Genomic DNA, 18,853 nt, shown 5'->3' on the forward strand with positions numbered 1-18,853 from the left:
GAAATTCCGGCTGGGGCTCCCTGCGATGGCCCTCCTGACAACTTCGGACAGCACCCTCCCCGCGGAAGCCCGGGGACGGGGACGGCAAAGGAGACTCGTTTGGACCCCGAGCCAAAGGGAGGCCCTGCGAGGCTGCTTTGAGAGGAACCCGTATCCTGGCATGGCCACCAGTGAACGGCTGGCCCAGGCCATCGGCATTCCAGAGTCCAGGGTCCCGATTTGGTTTCACAATGAGAGGTCACGCCAGCTGAGGCAACATCGGCGGGAATCTTGGCCCTGGCCCGGAAGACGGGGCCCGCAAGAAGGCAGGCGAAAGCGGACCGCCGTCACAAGACCCCGAAACACCCTGCTCCTCTGAGCCTTTGAGAAAGATCGCTTTCCAGGCATCGCCGCCAGGTAAGAGCTGGCCAGAAAGACGGGCCTCCCAGAGTCCAGGATTCAGATCTGGTTTCAGAATCAAAGGGTGAGGTACCTGGGACAGCCTGGTAGGGCGCCCGCCCAGGCAGGCGGGCTGTGCAACGCAGCCCCCGGCGCGTGTCACCCTGCTCCTTCGTGGGTCGCCTTCGCCCACACTAGCGTGTTTGGAACAGGGCTTCCCACACCCAAAGTGCCCTGAGCACCTGTGGCTCTCCAACAGGGGGCTTTCGTGAGCCAGGGAGCAAGGGACGTCCCCGTGCTCCAGTCCAGCTTGGCCGCACCGGCATAGGGGATCTCCCAACCTGCCCTGGCTTGTAGGGGTTTTTCCTGTGCCTCCCCGGGTCCTCCGTAAGGAACGCTTTCCCAGCCTCAGGCTCCTCGGTGGCCTCCGCACCCGGGCAAAAGCCGAGAGGACTGGGACCCGCAGAGCGACGGCCTGCCGGGCCCTTGTGCAGTGGGACAGCCTGGGCCCGCTCAAGCGGGGCCACAAGGCCAAGGTGTGCTTGCATCACCTGCGTCCCAGGGGAGTCCGCGGTGGGGCTGGTGCCGGGGTCCCCAGGTCACCGGGGCGGCGTGGGAACCCCACGCCGGGGTAGCTCCACCTCGCCAGCCCGCGCCCCCGGAGGCCTCCGAGTGGCAGGGGCAGATGCAAGGCATCCGGGCGCCTTCCCAGGCGCTCCAGGAGCCGGGGCGCTCGTCTGCACTCCCCTCCGGCCTGCTGCAGGATGAGCTCCTGGCGAGCCCGGAGTTTCTGCAGCAGGAGCAACCTTTCCTAGAAACGGAGGCCCCGGGGGAGCTGGAGGCCTTGGAAGAGGCCGCGTCGCTGGAAGCACCCCTCAGCAAGGAAGAATACCAGGTTCTGCTGGAGGAGCTTTAGGATGCATTGTTGGGACGGGGTCGGGTCGGGGCAATGCGGTGGCCTCTCTTTCGTGGGGAACACCTGTCTGGCTATGGAGGTGCGTGTCTTCCCCCCACCCCCTCCACCAGACTGACTGGCCTGGGATTCCTGTCTTCTATGTCTAGGCCCGGTGAGAGACTCCAAACAGCGGAGAACTGCCATTCTTTCCTGGGCATCCTGGGGATCCCAGAGCCGGCCCCGGTACCAGCAGCTGGGCCGCATACTGCACATGTGCGGGTTTGCGGGCAGCCGCCTGGGCTGTGGGAGCAGCCTAGGCAGAGCTCTCATGCCTTTCCACCACCACACACCAGCCTGACCACCCCCTCACGAACCGCACCCGCCACACCCGGAAAATGCGTCCTCCCATGTGCTGGGTGGAGACCACCGTCCCGCGAAACACCGGGCCTGTGCAGCGTCCAGGCCTGACACCCCTCCAGCTGCTCGCTTCCTCTGCGCCTCCGCGCCACCGTCGCAGGCCCGCCCGTGCCCCTGGAGCCTCCCAGCTCCCACCATGGAGTGCCTGGAGGCAGAACGCAGACCTCTAGCTCTCTTTGCCGGCCTCCTGGCTAGACCTGCGCTCATTGCGCACCACGGCTATTGTGCAAGGGAGCCTGCTGGACTCTCTGTGCCCTTGTCCATCCGTGAAATTCCAGCTGAGGCTCTCCCAACACCTTCCGACGCTCTGTAGTCAGAGCCTGGAGAATAGTTATATCTCCTGGATGATCGGTTCAGGAATATATCAAAATGCCCGCTCCCTGCGGAGCCTAGAGAAGATTTGCATCATTTGGGTTACCAGTGCAGAGATATATCACAATGTCCCCTGTACAAAAAGCCTGGAAATGATTTACATCACCTAGGTGATCAGTGCATAGGTATGTCAGAAATCCCCAGTAGGCTAAACATAGACAAGGGTTACATCACTTAGGTGCTCAGTGTAGAGATATTTGAAAATTCCCGTGTAGACACAGCCTAGACAAGTGTTACATCACCTAGTGACCAGTGCAGGGTTAAGTCGTAAAGCCTCCTCTAGGCAGAGTGTAGACAAGTGTTTCCTCCTTGGGGTGATCAGTGCAGAGATATGTCACAAAGCCCCTGTAAGCAGAACCTTGACAAGGGTTACATCACCTGTTTGATCAGTGGAAATGTATATCACAACCTGTAGGCAGAACGTAGAAAAGAGTTCCCTCCCCAGGGTGATCAGTGCAGAGATGTGTCACAAAGCCCCTGTAGGCAGAGCCTAGACAAGTGTTTCATCAATTGCTTGATCAGTTCAGAGATGTGTAACAATGTCCATGTAGGCAGATCTAAGTCAAGAGTCCATCACCTGAGTGATCAGTGCAGAGATATGTGCCAATGTTTCTTGTAGGCAGTGCCTAGACACGAGTTGCATCACCTCAGAAATCAGTGCATAGATATGTCACAAAGCCTACTGTAGGCAAAGCCCATAAAAGGCTTACATTAACTAGGTGATCAGTGCAGTGATACATCACAAAAATCTCTGTAGACAGAGCCTAGACAAGAGTTACATCACCTGGGTGATCAATGCAGATATTTGACACAATGCCCCCATAGACAGAGCCTAAACAAGACTTCCATCACCTGGGTGATCAGTGCAGAGATATGTCACAAATCCCCGTCTAGGCAGAGTATAGAGAAGAGTCCCATCACCTGGGTGATCAGTGCAGAGATATTTCACAATGCCCCTTGTAGGCAGAGAGTGTACAAGAGTTACATAACCTAGGTGATCTGTGCAGAGCTGTGTCAAAACGCCCCTGTAGGCAGAGCCTAGATAAATGTTACATCACCTGGGTGATCAGTGCAGAGATATGTCACAATACCCCCTGTAGGTGGAGCCTAGACAAGAGTTACCTCACCTGGGTGATCAGTGCAGAGATATGTCACAAAGCCCCTGTAGACAGAGCCTAAACAAGGGTTACATCACCTGGGTGATCAGTGCAGAAATCTGTCACAAAGTCCCTGTAGGCCGAGCCTAGACAAGTGTTATATCTCCAGGGTGATCAGTGCAAAGATATATCACAAAGCCCCTGTAGACAAATCCCAGAAAATTGTTACATCACCTGGGTAATCAGTGGAGATATCTGTCACAATTCCTCTTTTGCCGCAGCTTAGACAAGCATTACATCACATGAGTGATCAGTGCAGAGATATGTCACTATGCCCCCATAGTCAGATCCAAGACAAGAGTCCATCACCTGAGTGATCAGTGCAGAAATATGCCACAATGCCGCCAATAGGCAGATATAGACAAGAGTTACATCACCTGCGTGATCACTGCAGAGATATGTCACAATGCCCCTGTAGGCAGAGCCTAGACAAGAGTCCCATCACCTGGGTGATCAGTGCAGAGTTATGTCACAATGCCCCCTTTTGGCAGAGGCTAGACAAGGGTTACATCACCTGGGTGATCAGTGCAGAGATGTCTCACAAGCCCCCTATAGCCAGAGTCTAGACAAGAGTTACATCAGCTGTGTGATCAGTGCAGTGACATGTCACAATGTCCCTGTAGCCATATCCTTGACAAAAGTGACTTCACCAGGTTGATCATTGTGGAGATATGTCACAATGTCTCCAGTAGGCAGAGCCTAGACAAAAGTTACATCACCTGGGTGATGAGGGCAGGGATATGTCACAATGCCCCCGGTAAGCAGATCCCAGACAAGAGTTGCATCACCTCGGTGATCAATGCAGAGATATGTCTCAATGCCCCCTCTTGGTGAAGCCTATAAGAGAGTTACATCATCTCGGTGATCAGTGCAGTGATTTGTTAAATTGCCCCTGTAGGCAGAGCCTAGACAAGTGTTACATCACCTGGGTGATCCGTGCAGAGATATCTCACAATACACCCTGTAAGCAGAGCCTAGAAAAGAGTTACATCACCTGGGTGATCAGTGCAGAGATATGTCATAAACCCCACTGTAAGCAAAGCCTAGACAAGTTTTACATCACCTCAGCGATCAGTGCAGTGATAGCTCCCAATGTCCCTCTAGGCAGAGCTTAGACAAGAGTCACATCTCCTGGGTGATCAGTGTAGAGATAAGTCACAATGCCCCTATAGGCAGAGCATAGACCAGAGTTACATAATCTGGGTGATCCCTGCGGAGTGATTTCACAACGCCCTCTGTAGGCAGAGACTAGAAAAGAGTTACATCACCTGGGTGATCAGTGCAGAAATATGTCAAAATGCCCCGTGTAGGCAGAACATAGAGAAGACCTGCATCACCTGGGTGATCCTTGCAGAGATATGTCACAATGTCCCCTGTAGGCAGAACATAGAGAAGAGTTGCATCACCTGGGTGATCAGTGCAGAGATAGGTCTCAATGTCCCCTGTAGGCAAAGCCTAGGCAAGAGTTACATGACCTTTTTCATCAGTTCAGGGATATGTGAAAACGCCCCTGTAGGCAGATCCTAGACAAGATTTGAATCACCTAGGTGATCAGTGCAGAGATATTTCACAATGCCCAGTTATGGCAGAGGGTAACAAGAGTTACATCACCTAGGTGATCAGTGCAGAGATTTGTCAAAATTCCCTGTAGGCAGTGCTTATAAAAGTGTTACATCACCTAAGTGATCAGTGCAGAGATATGTCACAAAGCTCCTGTAGGCAGAACTTAGATGAGCTACATCACCTGGGTGATCAGTGCAAATGTATGTCAAAAAGTCCCCTGAAGGCAAAGCCTAGAGTATAGTTACATCACTTGGGTGATCAGTGCCGAGATCTCTCACAATTCCCCTGTAGGCAGAGCTTATACAACAGTTACATCACCTGGGTGATCAGTGCAGAGATATGTCACAATGCCCACATAGGCAAATCCAAGACAAGAGTCCGTAACCTGGGTGATCAGTGCAGAGATATGTGAGAATTCCCGTGTAGACAGAGCCTAGAGAAGTGTAACATAACATAGGTTATCAGTGCAGGTATAAGTCATAAAGCCTCCTGTAGGCAGAGCGTAGACAAGAGTTCCCTCACCAGGGTGAACAGTGCAGAGATGTGTCACAAAGCCCCGTAGGCAGAGCCTAGACAAGAGTTTCATCACTTGGTTGATCAGTTCAGAGATGTGTGACAATGTCCATGTAGGCAGATCTAAGACAAGAGTCCATCACCTGGGTGTTCAGTGCAGAGATATGTACCAATGCCCCTGTAGGCAGTGCCTAGACAAGAGTTGCATCACCTCAGAGAACAGTGCATAGGTATGTCACAAAGCCTTCTGTAGGTAAAGCCCATACAAGGCTTACATCACCTAGGTGATCAGTGCAGTGATAAGTCACAAAAATACCTGTGGACAGAGCCTAGAAAAGAGTTACATCACCTGGGTGATCAGTGCAGATATTTGACACACTGCCCCCATAGACAGAGCCTAGACAAGAATTCCATCACCTGGGCAATCAGTGCAGATATATGTCACAAATCCCCCTCTAGGCAGAGTATAGAGAAGAGTCCTATCACCTGGGTGATCAGTGCAGAGATATTTCACAATGCCCCCTGTAGGCAGAGAGTGGACAAGAGTTACATAACTTAGGTGATCTGTGCAGAGCTAAGTTAAAACGCCCCTGTAGGCAGGGCCTAGATAAATGTTACATCACCTGGCTGATCAGAGCAGAGATACGTCACAATACACCCTGTAGGTGGAGACTAGACAAGAGTTATATCACCTGGGTGATCAGTGCGGAGATACTTCACAATACCCCCTGTAGTTGGAGCCTACACAAGAGTTACATCTCCTGGGTGATCAGTGCAAAGATATGTCACAAAGCCCCCTGTAGACAAATCCCAGAAAATTGTTACATCACCTGGGTGATCAGTGGAGATATCTGTCACAATTCCCCTTTAGGCGCAGCTTAGACAAGCGTTACATCACATGAGTGATCAGTGCAGAGATATGTCACTATGCCGCCATAGGCAGATCCAAGACAAGTGTCCATCTCCTGAGTGATCAGTGCAGAAATATGCGGCAATGCCCCCTTAGGCAGAGCCTATACAACATCACCATCAGCTGGATGATCAGTGCAGATTTATATCACAAATTCCCCTTAGGCAGATACTAGACAAGAGTTACATCACCTGGGTGTTCAGTGCAGAGTTATGTCAAAATGCCCCCTTTTGGCAGAGCCTAGACAAGGGTTACATCACCTGGGTGATCAGTGCAGAGATCTGTCACAAGCCCCATGTAGCCAGAGCCTAGACAAGAGTTACATCAGCTGTGTGATCAGTGCAGTGACTTGTCACAATGTCCCTGTTGTAGCCATATTCCTGACAAAAGTGACATCACCTGGGTGATCAGTGCGGAGATATGTCACAATGTCTCCAGTAGGCAGAACCTAGACAAGAGTTACATTACCTGGGTGATCAGGGCAGAGATATGTCACAATGCCCCGTGAAAGCAGATCCCAGACAAGAGTTGCATCACCTTGGTGATCAGTGCAGAGATATGTCTCAATGCCCCCTGTCAGCGAAGCCTAAACACGAGTTACATTATCTCGGTGATCAGTGCAGTGATATGTGAAAATGCCCCTGTAGGCAGAGCCTAGACAAGAGTTACATTACCTGGGTGATCAGTGCAGACATATTTCACAATACCCCCTGTAAGCAGAGCCTAGACAAGAGTTACATCACCTGGGTGATCAGTGCAGAGATATGTCATAAATCCCACTGTAGGCAAAGCCTAGACAAGTTTTACATCACATCAGCGGTCAGTGCAAAGATATGTCCCAATGTTCCTCTAGGCAGAGCTTATACAATAGTCACATCTCCTGGGTTATCAGTGCAGTGATAAGTCACAATGCCCGCATAGGCAGAGCCTAGACAAGAGTTACATAACCCGGGTGATCCGTGCAGAGTAATGTCACAATGCCCTCTGTAGGCAGAGCCTAGAAAAGAGTTACATCACCTGGGTGATCAGAGCAGAGATATGTCATAATGCCCCCTGTAGGCAGAGCATAGAGAAGAGTTTCATCACCTGGGTGATCAGTGCAGAGATATTTCCCAATACCCCTGTAGGCAGATCCAAGACAAGAGTTGAATCACCTGAGTGATCAGTGCAGAGATATTTCACAATGCCCCCTTTGGGCAGAGGGTAGAAAAGACTTACATCACCTATGTGATCAGTGCAGAGATTTGTCAAAGTTCCCTGTCGGCAGTGCTTAGAAAACTGTTACATCACCTAAGTGATCAGTGCAGAGATATATCAAAAAGCTCCTGTAGGCAGAACTTAGATGAGTTACATCACCTGGGTGACAAGTGCAAAGGAATGTTACAAAGCCCCCTGTAGGCAAAGCCTAGACAATAGTTACATCACTTTGGTGATCAGTGGCGAGACCTCTCACAATTCCCCTGTAGGCAGAGCTTATACAACAGTTACATCACCTGGGCGATCAGTGCAGAGATATGTCACAATGCCCCCATAGGCAGATCGAAGACAAGAGTCTGTCACCTGGGTGATCAGTGCAGAAATATGTCACAATGCCCCCTTAGGCAGAGCCTATACAACAGCCCCATCAGCTGGATGATCAGTGCAGATTTATATCACAAAGTCCCCTTAGGCAGATACTAGACAAGAGTTACATCACCTGGTTGATCAGTGCAGAGTTATGCCACAATGCCCCTGTAGGCTGAGCCTAGACAAGAGTTACATGACCTAGGTGATCAGTGCAGAGATACATCGCAATGCCCCTGTAGGCAGAGCCTTGACAAGTGGTATATCACCTGGGTGACCATTGCATTGATATGTCACAAAGCACCCTATAGGGAGATCCTAGAGAAGAGTTATATCACCTGGGTGGTCAGTGCAGAGTTATGTCACAAGCCCCTGTAGGCAGAGCCTAGACAAGAGTTATAACACCTGGGTGATCAGTGCAGTGATATGTCACAATGCCGTATAGCCAGAGCCTAGACTAAAGTTACAGCACCTGGGAGATAAGTGCAGAGATATGTCACAAAGTCCCCAGTAGGCAGAGACCAGGTAAGAGTTGGATCATCTCGGGATCAGTGCAGAGATATGTCTCAATCCCCCTGTGGGCACAGCCTAGACAAGAGTTACATCACCTCGTTTAACAGTGCAGAGATATGTCAAAATGCCCCTGTAGGCAGAGCCTACACAAGTGTTACATCACTTAGGTGATCAGTGCAGATATATGTCACAATACCCCCTGTAAGCAGAGCCTAGACAAGAGTTACATCACCTGGGTGATCAGTGCAGAGATATGTGACAAGGCCCCTTTAAGCAGAACCTAGACAATTGTTACATCACCTGAGTGATCAGTGCGGAGAACTGTCAAAATGCCCCTTTAGGCAGAGCTTAGATCAGAGTTACACCGCCTGGGTGATCAGTGCAGAGATATCTCACAATACCCACTGTAAGCAGAGCCTAGACAAGAGTTACATCACCTGGGTGATCAGTGCAGAGATATGTCATAAATCCCACTGTAGGCAAAGCCTAGACAAGTTTTACATCACCTCAGCGAAAAGTGCAGAGATATATCCCAATGTCCCTCTAGGCAGAGCTTAGCCAAGAGTCACATCTCCTGGGTGATCAGTGCAGAGATAAGTCACACTGCCCCCATTGGCAGAGCCTAGAGAAGAGTTATATGACTGGGGTGATCCGTGCAGAGTGATATCACAACGCCCTCTGTAGCCACAGAGTAGAAAATAGTTACATCACCTGGGTGATCAGTGCAGAGATATGTCACAATGCCCCTGTAGGTAGAGCATAGAGAACAGTTGCATCACCTGGGTGATCAGTGCAGAAATATGTGACAATGCCTCCAGTAGGCAGAGCCTAGAGAAGAGTCCCATCACGTGGGTGATCGGTGCAGAGATATTTCACAATGCCCCTGCAGGCAGAGCATAAGCAAGATTTACATCACCTAGTTGATTAGTGCAGAGATATGTCACAAGGCCCCCTATAGGCAGATCCTGGACAAGAGTTACATCACCTCGGTGATCAATGCAGTGATATGTCATTATGCCCCGTAGACAGAGCCTAGTCAAGCGTTACATCACCTGTGTGATCAGTGCGGAGATATGTCACAAAGCCCCCATACACAGAGCCTAGACAAGTGTCCCATCACCTAGGTGATCAGTGCAGAAATATGTCACAATGCCCCCATAGGCAGATCCAACACAAGAGTTACATTACCTGGGTGATCAGTGTAGAGATATGTCACAATGCCCCCATAGGCAGATCCAACACAAGAGTTACATTACCTGGGTGATCAGTGTAGAGATATGTCACAATGTCCCCATAGGCAGAGCCTAGACAAAGTCCCATCACCTGGGTGATCAGTGCAGAGATATGTCACAAAGCCCCTGTAGGCAGAGCCTAGACAAGAGTTACATCACTTTTTTTTTTTTTTTTTTTTTTTTTTGAGACGGAGTCTCGCTCAGTGGCCCAGGTGGGAGTGCAGTGGCGCAATCTCGGCTCACTGCAAGCTCCGCCTCCCGGGTTCACGCCATTCTCCTGCCTCAGCCTCCCAAGTAGCTGGGACTACAGGTGCCCGCCACTACGCCCGGCTAATTTTTTTGTATTTTTTTTAGTAGAGACGGGGTTTCACCATTGTAGCCGGGATGGTCTCGATCTCCTGACCTCGTGATCCGCCCGCCTCGGCCTCCCAAAGTGCTGGGATTACAGGCGTGAGCCACCGCGCCCGGCTATCACTTTGTTGATCAGTTCAGAGATGTGTCATGCTGACTGTTTGCTCCGGCAGCTCTGCGGGCACTCGGAAACATGCAGCTAAGGGTGGAACACTGGCATGGTGCCTTCGCTCTCCTTGCCAGTTTCCAAACCGGCCACACTGCAGACTCCCCAAGTTGCCGCATAAGGGAATCCATCGTCAGGCCATCACGCCGGAGAGGCATCTTCTCTCTGGGGTCTCGGTCTGGTCTCCTACTTAGAAATGAACGAGAGCCACACGCCTGCGTGTTTCAGACAGTCCCGGCAACGGCGACACCCACAGGCACTGCCTTCTTCATGGAGAGAGGGCCGGGAACACTCAAGAATCCCATGGAGGTTCAGTTCCACACTCCCCTCCACCCACCCAGGCCAGTTTCGCCCTGCTGAAGACGCCTGGGAGATCAGAGAGCGGCTTCCAGTTCCTGCTGGATTCCTGGAGATGTCCGGAGAGCCAGCCCCCATCACCCCTTCCCCCTCGCCCCCTTCCTCTTCGTCTCTCCGGCCCCACCACCAGCATCACCACGCCCTCCCTCCCCACCCCACAACCCCCCGGCCACAGGCCTCGACGCCCTGGGACCCTTCCGGGGTGGGGCTGGCTGTCCCAGGGCTCACCGCCATTCATGAAGGGGTGGAGCCTGTCTGCCTGTGGGCCTTTATAGGAGCTGCTGGCTGGCTGTCTGGGCAGGCCTCCTGGGTGCACCTGCCGCAGTGCACAGGCCGGCTGAGGTGCACGGGAGCCCGCCGGCCCCTCTCTGCACGCGTCCGTCCATGAAATTCCGGCTGGGGCTCCCCGCGATGGCCTTCCCGACAACTTCGGACAGCACCCTCCCCACGGAAGCCTGGGGACGGGGACGGTGGAGGACACTCGTTTGGACCCCGAGCCAAAGCCAGGCCCTGCGAGCCTGCTTTGAGCGGAACCCGTACCCGGGCATCGCCACCAGAGAACGGCTGGCCCAGGCCATCGACATTCCGGAGCCCAGAGTCCAGATTTGGTTTCAGAATGCGAGGTCACGCCAGCTGAGGCAGCACCGGCGGGAATCTCGGCCCTGGCCCGGAAGACGCGGCCCGCAAGAAGGCAGGCGAAAGCGGACCGCGGTCACCGGATCCCAGACCGCCCTACTCCTCCGAGCCTTTGAGAAGGATCGCTTTCCAGGCATCGCCGCCAGGGAAGAGGTGGCCAGAGAGACGGGCCTCCCAGAGTCCAGGATTCAGATCTGATTTCAGAATTGAAGGGCCAGGCAGCCGGGACAGGCTGACAGGGCGCCCGCGCAGTCAGGCGGCCTGTGCAAAGCGGCCCCAGGCGGGTGTCACCCTGCTCCCTCGTGGGTCGCCTTCGCCCACACCGGCGCGTTGGGAACGGGGCTTCCCACACCCCACGTGCCCTGCACGACTGGGGCTCTCCCACAGGGAGCTTTTGTGAGCCAGGGAGCGAGGGCCGTCCCCGTGCTCCAGCCCAGCCAGGCCGCGCCAGGAGAGGGGATCTCCCAACCTGTCCCGTCACGCCAGGATTTTGCCTACACCGCCCCGGCTCCTCCAGAAGGGGCGCTCTCCCACCCTCAGGCTCCTCCGTGGCCTCCGCACCCGGGCAAAAGCCGGGAGGACCCGGACCCGCAGCGTGACAGCCTGCCGGTTGCTTGCGCGGTGGGACAGCCTGGGCCCGCTCAAGCGGGGCCACAGGGCCAAGGTGTGCTTGCGCCACCCGCGTCCCAGGGGAGTCCGTGTTGGGGCTGGGGCAGGGGTTCCCAGGGCCCAGGGGCGGCCTGGGAACCCCAAGCCAGGGTAGCTCCACCTCGCCAGCCCATGCCCCTGGAGGCCTCTGCGCGGCAGGGGCGGATGCAAGGCATCCCGGCGCCCTCCAAGGCGCTTCAGGAGCCGGGGCGCTCGTCTGCACTCCCCTCCGGCCTGCTGCTGGATGAGCTCCTGGCGAGCCCGGAGTTTCTGCAGCAGGCGCAACCTTTCCTAGAAACGGAGGCCCCGGGGGAGCTGGAGGCCTTCGAAGAGGCCGCCTTGCTGGAAGCACCCTTCAGCGAGGAAGAATACCGGACTCTGCTGGAGGAGCTTTAGGATGCGGGGTTGGGACAGGGTCGGATCGGGGCAGGGCGGTGGCCTCTCTTTCGCAGGGAACACCTGGCTGGCTATGGAGGTGCGTGTCTTCTCCCCGCCCCCTCCACCGGGCTGACCTGCCTGGGATTCCTGCCTTCTAGGTCTAGGCCTGGTGAGAGGCTCCACACAGCGGAGAACTGCCATTCTTTCCTGGGCATCCTGGGGATCCCAGAGCCGGCCCAGGTACCAGCAGGTGGGCCGCCTACTGCGCACCCGCGGGTTTGCGGGCAGCCGCCTGGGCTTTGGGAGCAGCCGGGGCAGAGCTCTCATGCCTTTCCACCACCCCACCCCCGCCTGACCACCCACCCCCACCACCACCCACCACCCCCGGAAAATGCGTCCTCCCCTGGGCTGGGTGGAGACCCCCGTCCCATGAAACACCGTGCCCGCACAGCGTCCAGGCCTGACACCCCTCTGGCCGCTCGCCTCCTCTGCGCCTCCGCGCCACCGTACCCGGCCCGCCTGTGCCCCTGCAGCCTCCCAGCTGCCCCCATGGAGTGCCTGGTGGTGGAACGCACACCTCTAGCTCTCTTTGCCGGCCTCCTGGCTAGACCTGCGCTCATTGCGCACCCAGGCTGACGTGCAACGGAGACCGCTGTCCTCTCTGTGCCCTTGTCCGTCCGTGAAATTCCGGCTGAGTCTCTCCCAACACCTTCCGAAGCTCTTTTGTCAAATCCTGGAGAATACTTATATCTCCTGGATGATCGGTTCAGAAATATGTCACAATGCCCCCTCCCTGCGGAGCCTAGAGAAGATTTGCATCATTTGGGTGATCAGTGCAGTGATATATCACAATATTTTCACTTATTTATTTTTTATAAGGTAAATCAAATGTTCCAGAACCACTAATGAGCATCAGTCATTTCCTCTAGTTGAGCTGCAATGCCAATATCAAGGGCCATATACTGTTTATCAAGTTTCTATTTATGTTCCAGTTTAATCTTATGAGACCACCGCAGTGTAGATGGTGGACTAGTTGACTGAAATGTGTTACATTGGGCTTGACTGTTTATATTTGAAAATATTTGGGAGTTGAATAATTTTAAGGAATTACTGATAACTTGGTGTGAAAGGATAAGGGAATTTTGGTCATGAAAGAAAATGGCCTTAGTTTTTGAATATGCAGGCTTAAGTATACACAGGCAAATTAGCATGATGCCTATAATTTACTTTTATTTCAAATTGAAATATTACATAAAGAAAACTTGACAAAATATTAACAATTAATTGGATTTAGGTGGTGGTTATGTGGGTGTCCATTTTTTCTACCTTTCTGTAGGCTCCAATGTTTCATAATTAAAAGGGAAAAAACGGGGCCACAAGAGAAGGTACAATTAAACATTAATGGGTCCCTTCTCCCAAGCGGTTAGTGCTGAGAGTGTGGAGTGTGTTCTCCAGGATCAGCACATCGTTATTATCTTGAAAAATCCATTCCCCCGAAAAAAATCCCATGAAAAAAACTTAAAAGAAAAAAAAAGGTTTCTGTTTTAACAACCGTCACCCCTGCAAAACACTTTACCAAAAAATCCTTGTCTTCACTGCCAGAGACATTTTCCTTTTCTTCTTGTATAAGATTACCCGGTGAGGCAGCCAAGAGTGACCCACCCACCACCTCGCTGCTCCGAAGCAGCTTCAAGAAGGAACAGGATCCCGAGGCCTGGACGCTGGACCTTACAACGCCACCCTCGTCCCAGCCCGCTGCGGGCCTCAGTTCCTCCGACGTGGAGTAGTTTTGGATCCCAGGTGATTTTGTCTCTCTGCGCTGGCCCAGGCTTCTGCCTCAGCCCTTACTCTCCTTTCATTGAAATGTCGCAGCCTGTGGCCCTACCGACAGACAGGTGCAGAGGTGAGCCCAGCTTCCCAGCCATCCCCTGTCCTCGCACCGCACGTGACCAGGCCTGCTGGCCGGTCCTTTCTATCCCGGGCTACAGGAACCAGATCACCGGCGCTCCTTGGGAAACGCAGGATGTGGAATGTGCTTAAGACCCCATGAATTTTGATGTTGTAAAAGACTAGCCAATACACACTAAGTGGTCTCGGTGTGATCCATCACTCCGCAAAATTGGAGTGGGCAACATGTTCATAAAAAAAATTGGACAAATCTATTGTTTATAAAGCATTGCATGATACATCTGCTTTTGGTAATATCTTTTTGTTGTAGAAAAAACCAGGTTCTTGTCATACCACCATGAAAAGGCATGCAAACACTTGAAGGGTGAGGGGGAATGGAGTTTATTGGGTGGAAAGGAAAAAAGAAAAATAACTCTCTGCAAAGAGAGAAAGAGTCCTGCTAGCGGGTTTCCCGCCTCATAGATTAAATCCTAGGTCACTACATGGGAACACGCCAGACTCCTCTCCACTGCACACTGCACAAACTTCCCGAGGCTCCACCCTGTAATCCCAGTGCACAGGTGGGCATTATTCAGAATCAGTGAGGAAAGGGAGGCTTCAACCAGGACCTGCAGTCCAGTTTATCAACGTTCAGGCTGTTTTAGTCTTGAAGGTGGGGTTTTACCAGGGGACCCTTGGCTGCATCCTGTCTCTATCACTTTCACATTAGGTGCTTTGTGGTGAAAACGGTTTCAGGGGTGATGGCATTGTACATTTTGAGACACAGAAGCAGCTGAAAGATCTATTCAAAAATGAAATGGATGCTTCTAAATGATAGCAAATTCTTTGTTGGATTAAGTCTTGTAAACAATGAGAAGCAAAACTCAGAGTTAAAAAGCTCACCAATGTTTACAGGAAGATTTTTGGAGAAGACATGGATGGTAGGTGCCTTAAAGATCTCTTTGGCAAGTTGGGATGTGTCTTAAGTGTGATAGTAGTGGTTAATGAAAGTGCAAAACCCAAAGGTTTTGGATTTGTCAGCTTTGAAAGGCATAAAGATGCGCAGATGAGATGAACAGAAAGAAGCTCAATGGAAAACAAAATGATGTTAGTCAAGCTCAGAAAGAAGTAGAATGGCACATGGAACTTGTGTGCAAATTTGAAAAGATCAAGTAATATAGGATCACCAGATAACAAAGTGTTAACATTTATGCAAAAAATCTTGATGGTATTGATGAATGTCTCTGGAAAAACTTTGTCCACTTGGTACAATCACCAATGCAAAAGTTATGAAGGATGGTTTTCACAACAAAGGGTTTGATTTGTGTATGTTTCTCCTCTCCAGAGGAAGAAACTAAAGCACTTTCAGAAATGAATGGTAGAATTGTGGGCACTGAGCCATTGTATATAGTGTTAACTCCATGGGAAGAAAAGCAATGAACAGAAACAGGCTCAGCTCATTAACCAGTACAGTATGTGCAAAGAATGGCAAGTGTAAAAACTATGCTCAACCTGGGAATCAGTCCCTATCAGCCAGCACCTTCTTCAATTGACTTCATGGCAGTTATCCCACAGACTGAGAGCCATGCTGCAAAGTATTCTCCTAGCCAAACTGCTCAACTAAGATCAAATCCTCCCTAAATTGCTCAGGGTGCCAGACCTCATCCATTGAAAAATATGCCGAAGCCACTCCTAGCTCACTACATTTAGTAGTAAGAGACCAGCTTCTTCCCAGCTTCCATGAGTCATGTCAACACAGCTGTTGTAACACATCGACACAGACAATAGGAGCACATCCTGCAGTTGCCGCTACTGCTACTACAGATACTCCTGCTGTTTGTACCATTTCACAGTATAAATATGCTATGGAAGCTCACAATCCTCAATGGCATTTTCATGCACAGCCCCAGGTTACCATGCAGCAGCCTGCTGTTCATGTAGAAGGTCAAGAACCTTTGACTTCCATGATGGCATCTGCTCCTCCTCAAAAGCAAAAGGAAAAGAGTGAATGGTTGTTTCCTCTTCTCAAGCCATGCCCTAGTCGTGCTGCTAAAATCATTGGCATGTTGTTGGAGATTGGTAATTTAGAACTCCTTCATATACTTGAATCTCCAGAGCCTCTCTATACTAAGGTTGACAAAGGTATAGTTGTACTACAAGACAACCAAGCTAAAGAGGCTGCCCAGAAAGCAGTTAATGGTGCCACTGCTGTTCCAATTGTTTAAAACTGATCAGGGACCAGAGAAAGAAACTTGAGCATCACTGAAGAAAAATATCTCCATATCGAAAACCTTAAATACTATGGAAAAAATTTGTAAAATATAAAATAAATTTAAAAAGGAAACTTTGAACTTTACATACCAAACAAATGTCAGATCTAACAAATGCAATGATAGTCCTAGATTACTTATTGATTTGAAAAGAAAAAATCCTCCCAAAATAATAAAATATAAAAACACTGTAATGCTTTTCAGACTCTGTGATACATAATTTTCAGCAAAGTATAAAAATTTAAAGCATTCCTTTAATTTTGGAATTCATTAGTGTGGAATAGCTAAGAATGTCACTTCTGTTTTAAGTAACAGAATTGATAACTGAGCAAGGAAACATAATTTGGATTATAAAATTTTGCTTTAATAAAAATTCCTTAAACAGTAAAAAAAGATACAAAAAAACTTTATAAGAAACAACAATCTTGTATTTATTTGTTATTTTATTTTATTTTATTTTATTTTATTTTATTTTTTTGAGATGGAGTCTTGCTCTGTCACCCAGGCTGGAGTGCAGTGGCGTGATCTTGGCTCACTGCAACCTCTACCTCCCAGGTTCAAGTGATTCTCCTGCCTCAGCCTCCTGAGTAGACGGGACTAGAGGCACCTTCCATCATGCCTGGCTAGTTTTTTGTATTTGTAGTAGAGACAGGTTTTCACCATGTTAGCCAGGATGGTCTCCTTCTCCTGACCTCCTGATCCACCCGCCTTGTCTTCCCCAAGTGCTGGGATGGTGTGAGCCACTGTGCCCAGACTTATTTATTTAAATACTATAAACACTAATATCATACACATGGTTAACTGGTTGTAATTTTCAAATTATATTAATAAATTTTTATAAAAACTTTTATAAATAAAACACATAAAATTTCAAATAAATAACAACATCTGCCACACTACCTTAAAACGGCGACTATTTCAGTATAATAAACATATATCACAGACACTTAGAGAAAGTTCAATAAATAAAGAATAAAAAGAATAGGTACAACAATTTTCCTCCTAATCAAAAACACAATTCCTCATTTTGAAAATTATTTATTATATCTCTTTTATTAAAATAAACTTTCTACTTTGAAATCTAATCCTCTTGTGAATGTAAAATACTATCTTGTAAATATATATATATACATATATTTTATTTTTTTTTTTTTGAGACAGAGTCTTGCTCTGTCTCCCAGGCTGGAGTGCAATGGTGCGATCTCAGCTCAATGCAACCTCTGCCTCCTGGGTTCAAGCGATTCTCCTGCCTCAGCCTTCTGAGTAGCTGGGATTAGAGGTGCGTGCCACCACACCTGACAAATTTTTGAATTTTTAGTAGAGACGGGGTTTCACTATGTTGGTCAGATTGGTCTCGAACTCCTGACCTTGTGATCTGCACACATTGGCCTCCCAAAGTGCTGGGATTACAGACATGAGCCACAACACCCTGCCTATATTTTTATTTTTTTATAAGTGACAATGAGATGTCTTCATTATTTAAATAGTAGTCAAAACACTGGCACAGTTTAAATTTTTAGAATTTGAGTACTAGAATTACAATATTTGAAAATGGAGTCTGTACTTTGCTGTAAAACTATAAAGAGAAAATATCACTAAAACAGTAGCTATTTTATCTTTTCCCAGAGTTATTCTCCCAGAGTGTATTTTCTAAGTTATTTCTCAGACGGTTTTAGAACTTTTGGCAGTTTCGGTGATATATTCTGTAAAAGCCCTTAGACTTAACAGGAATAACACATAGTTTTGATTGCCTTAAATTTTAATTGCTTCACTTGGCAAATTTATGTGCAAATTTCATATTCTGTGGTATTTTAATATCTTGCTTGTGGAGAAGAGGAAATAGATGAATGAAAGTAATATTCAGTCCTTGCATTGAGCTTTTGCCAAAGAAGTCTAAACAATTTCTAAAATGTCATTCAATAAGACCATTTTAGAAGTGTTTATATGACTCTTATAACTTTAAAATAAAGAGTCTTGAAGTAAATTAAAACTCACTTTGCTTGTGATGGGTTCTACATTAACATGGCAGATTTAATCAGCCAGAATTAAAAGGTAATTCTACATTACTAAGGAGAAGAAACTGCCACATGACAGTAGTCTCCAAATCTTTCATTTTTGGAGGCCGCCTTTTATGCCTAGATTTTAAAATACTAATTGAAAAAAATATAGTTTACTTCCATTTGTGATTTAATTTTATTTCTATAAATAAAAATATAGATAGTGTTTCATCTAAAAACTGCTAAATCAGACTTTCATTTTAAGGGCATGGCAGAAATAAGGAAAGACTAACTTGGTTCTATTAATTAACATATTATTTATTCAGGCAGTCACCAAAACCAGAATTTAAAATCTATTCAGTTAACCCATTTAAAGTTGATGTGTTTTACTCCTTTTATTTTTCTTTTTGTAGTGATCTTTCTAACTGAATTACTGGACATCATGGGGAGTTCTACTCCTCCTATTTGGAAACTTAGGCTATCTTACCAAGTTCAATATTCAAAGTTTTTCTTTCTGCCATTAAGTTTGTTTAATTTTATAGTAAGCTCAGTTTGTATTATGATATCAAATTCAGCCTGACGGATTACTTTAAACTTTCCTAGGGTATTTACAGATTTAATTTGTTCTTACACTATGTAAATTCCAAGAG

The 18,853-nt window shown here is 48.9% G+C and overlaps 3 pseudogenes, besides 6 other annotated features; all 3 read left to right on the top strand.

Annotated features, from left to right (window-relative positions):
• Nucleotides 26-1,451, top strand: DUX4L18 (double homeobox 4 like 18 (pseudogene); annotated as a pseudogene).
• Nucleotides 4,146-4,821: an enhancer, noted in NCBI's record as "OCT4-NANOG-H3K27ac hESC enhancer chrY:13481354-13482029 (GRCh37/hg19 assembly coordinates)". NCBI's record gives its function as "activates a minimal SCP1, AML or CMV promoter by ChIP-STARR-seq in primed H9 embryonic stem cells {active_cell/tissue: H9 hESC(primed)}" and the evidence as "EXISTENCE:reporter gene assay evidence [ECO:0000049][PMID:30033119]".
• Nucleotides 4,822-5,496: an enhancer, noted in NCBI's record as "OCT4-NANOG-H3K27ac hESC enhancer chrY:13482030-13482704 (GRCh37/hg19 assembly coordinates)". NCBI's record gives its function as "activates a minimal SCP1, AML or CMV promoter by ChIP-STARR-seq in naive and primed H9 embryonic stem cells {active_cell/tissue: H9 hESC(naive and primed)}" and the evidence as "EXISTENCE:reporter gene assay evidence [ECO:0000049][PMID:30033119]".
• Nucleotides 5,881-6,398: an enhancer, noted in NCBI's record as "OCT4-NANOG hESC enhancer chrY:13483089-13483606 (GRCh37/hg19 assembly coordinates)". NCBI's record gives its function as "activates a minimal SCP1, AML or CMV promoter by ChIP-STARR-seq in primed H9 embryonic stem cells {active_cell/tissue: H9 hESC(primed)}" and the evidence as "EXISTENCE:reporter gene assay evidence [ECO:0000049][PMID:30033119]".
• Nucleotides 6,710-7,211: an enhancer, noted in NCBI's record as "NANOG hESC enhancer chrY:13483918-13484419 (GRCh37/hg19 assembly coordinates)". NCBI's record gives its function as "activates a minimal SCP1, AML or CMV promoter by ChIP-STARR-seq in primed H9 embryonic stem cells {active_cell/tissue: H9 hESC(primed)}" and the evidence as "EXISTENCE:reporter gene assay evidence [ECO:0000049][PMID:30033119]".
• Nucleotides 8,130-8,664: an enhancer, noted in NCBI's record as "OCT4-NANOG hESC enhancer chrY:13485338-13485872 (GRCh37/hg19 assembly coordinates)". NCBI's record gives its function as "activates a minimal SCP1, AML or CMV promoter by ChIP-STARR-seq in naive and primed H9 embryonic stem cells {active_cell/tissue: H9 hESC(naive and primed)}" and the evidence as "EXISTENCE:reporter gene assay evidence [ECO:0000049][PMID:30033119]".
• On the top strand, nucleotides 10,799-12,321 carry DUX4L19 (double homeobox 4 like 19 (pseudogene); annotated as a pseudogene).
• Nucleotides 11,189-11,726: an enhancer, noted in NCBI's record as "H3K27ac-H3K4me1 hESC enhancer chrY:13488397-13488934 (GRCh37/hg19 assembly coordinates)". NCBI's record gives its function as "activates a minimal SCP1, AML or CMV promoter by ChIP-STARR-seq in naive and primed H9 embryonic stem cells {active_cell/tissue: H9 hESC(naive and primed)}" and the evidence as "EXISTENCE:reporter gene assay evidence [ECO:0000049][PMID:30033119]".
• On the top strand, nucleotides 14,871-15,577 carry PABPC1P5 (poly(A) binding protein cytoplasmic 1 pseudogene 5; annotated as a pseudogene).

The sequence above is a fragment of the Homo sapiens genome, chromosome Y (genome assembly GCF_000001405.40).
Source record: "Homo sapiens chromosome Y, GRCh38.p14 Primary Assembly".
NCBI classification, from domain to species: Eukaryota; Metazoa; Chordata; class Mammalia; order Primates; family Hominidae; genus Homo; species Homo sapiens.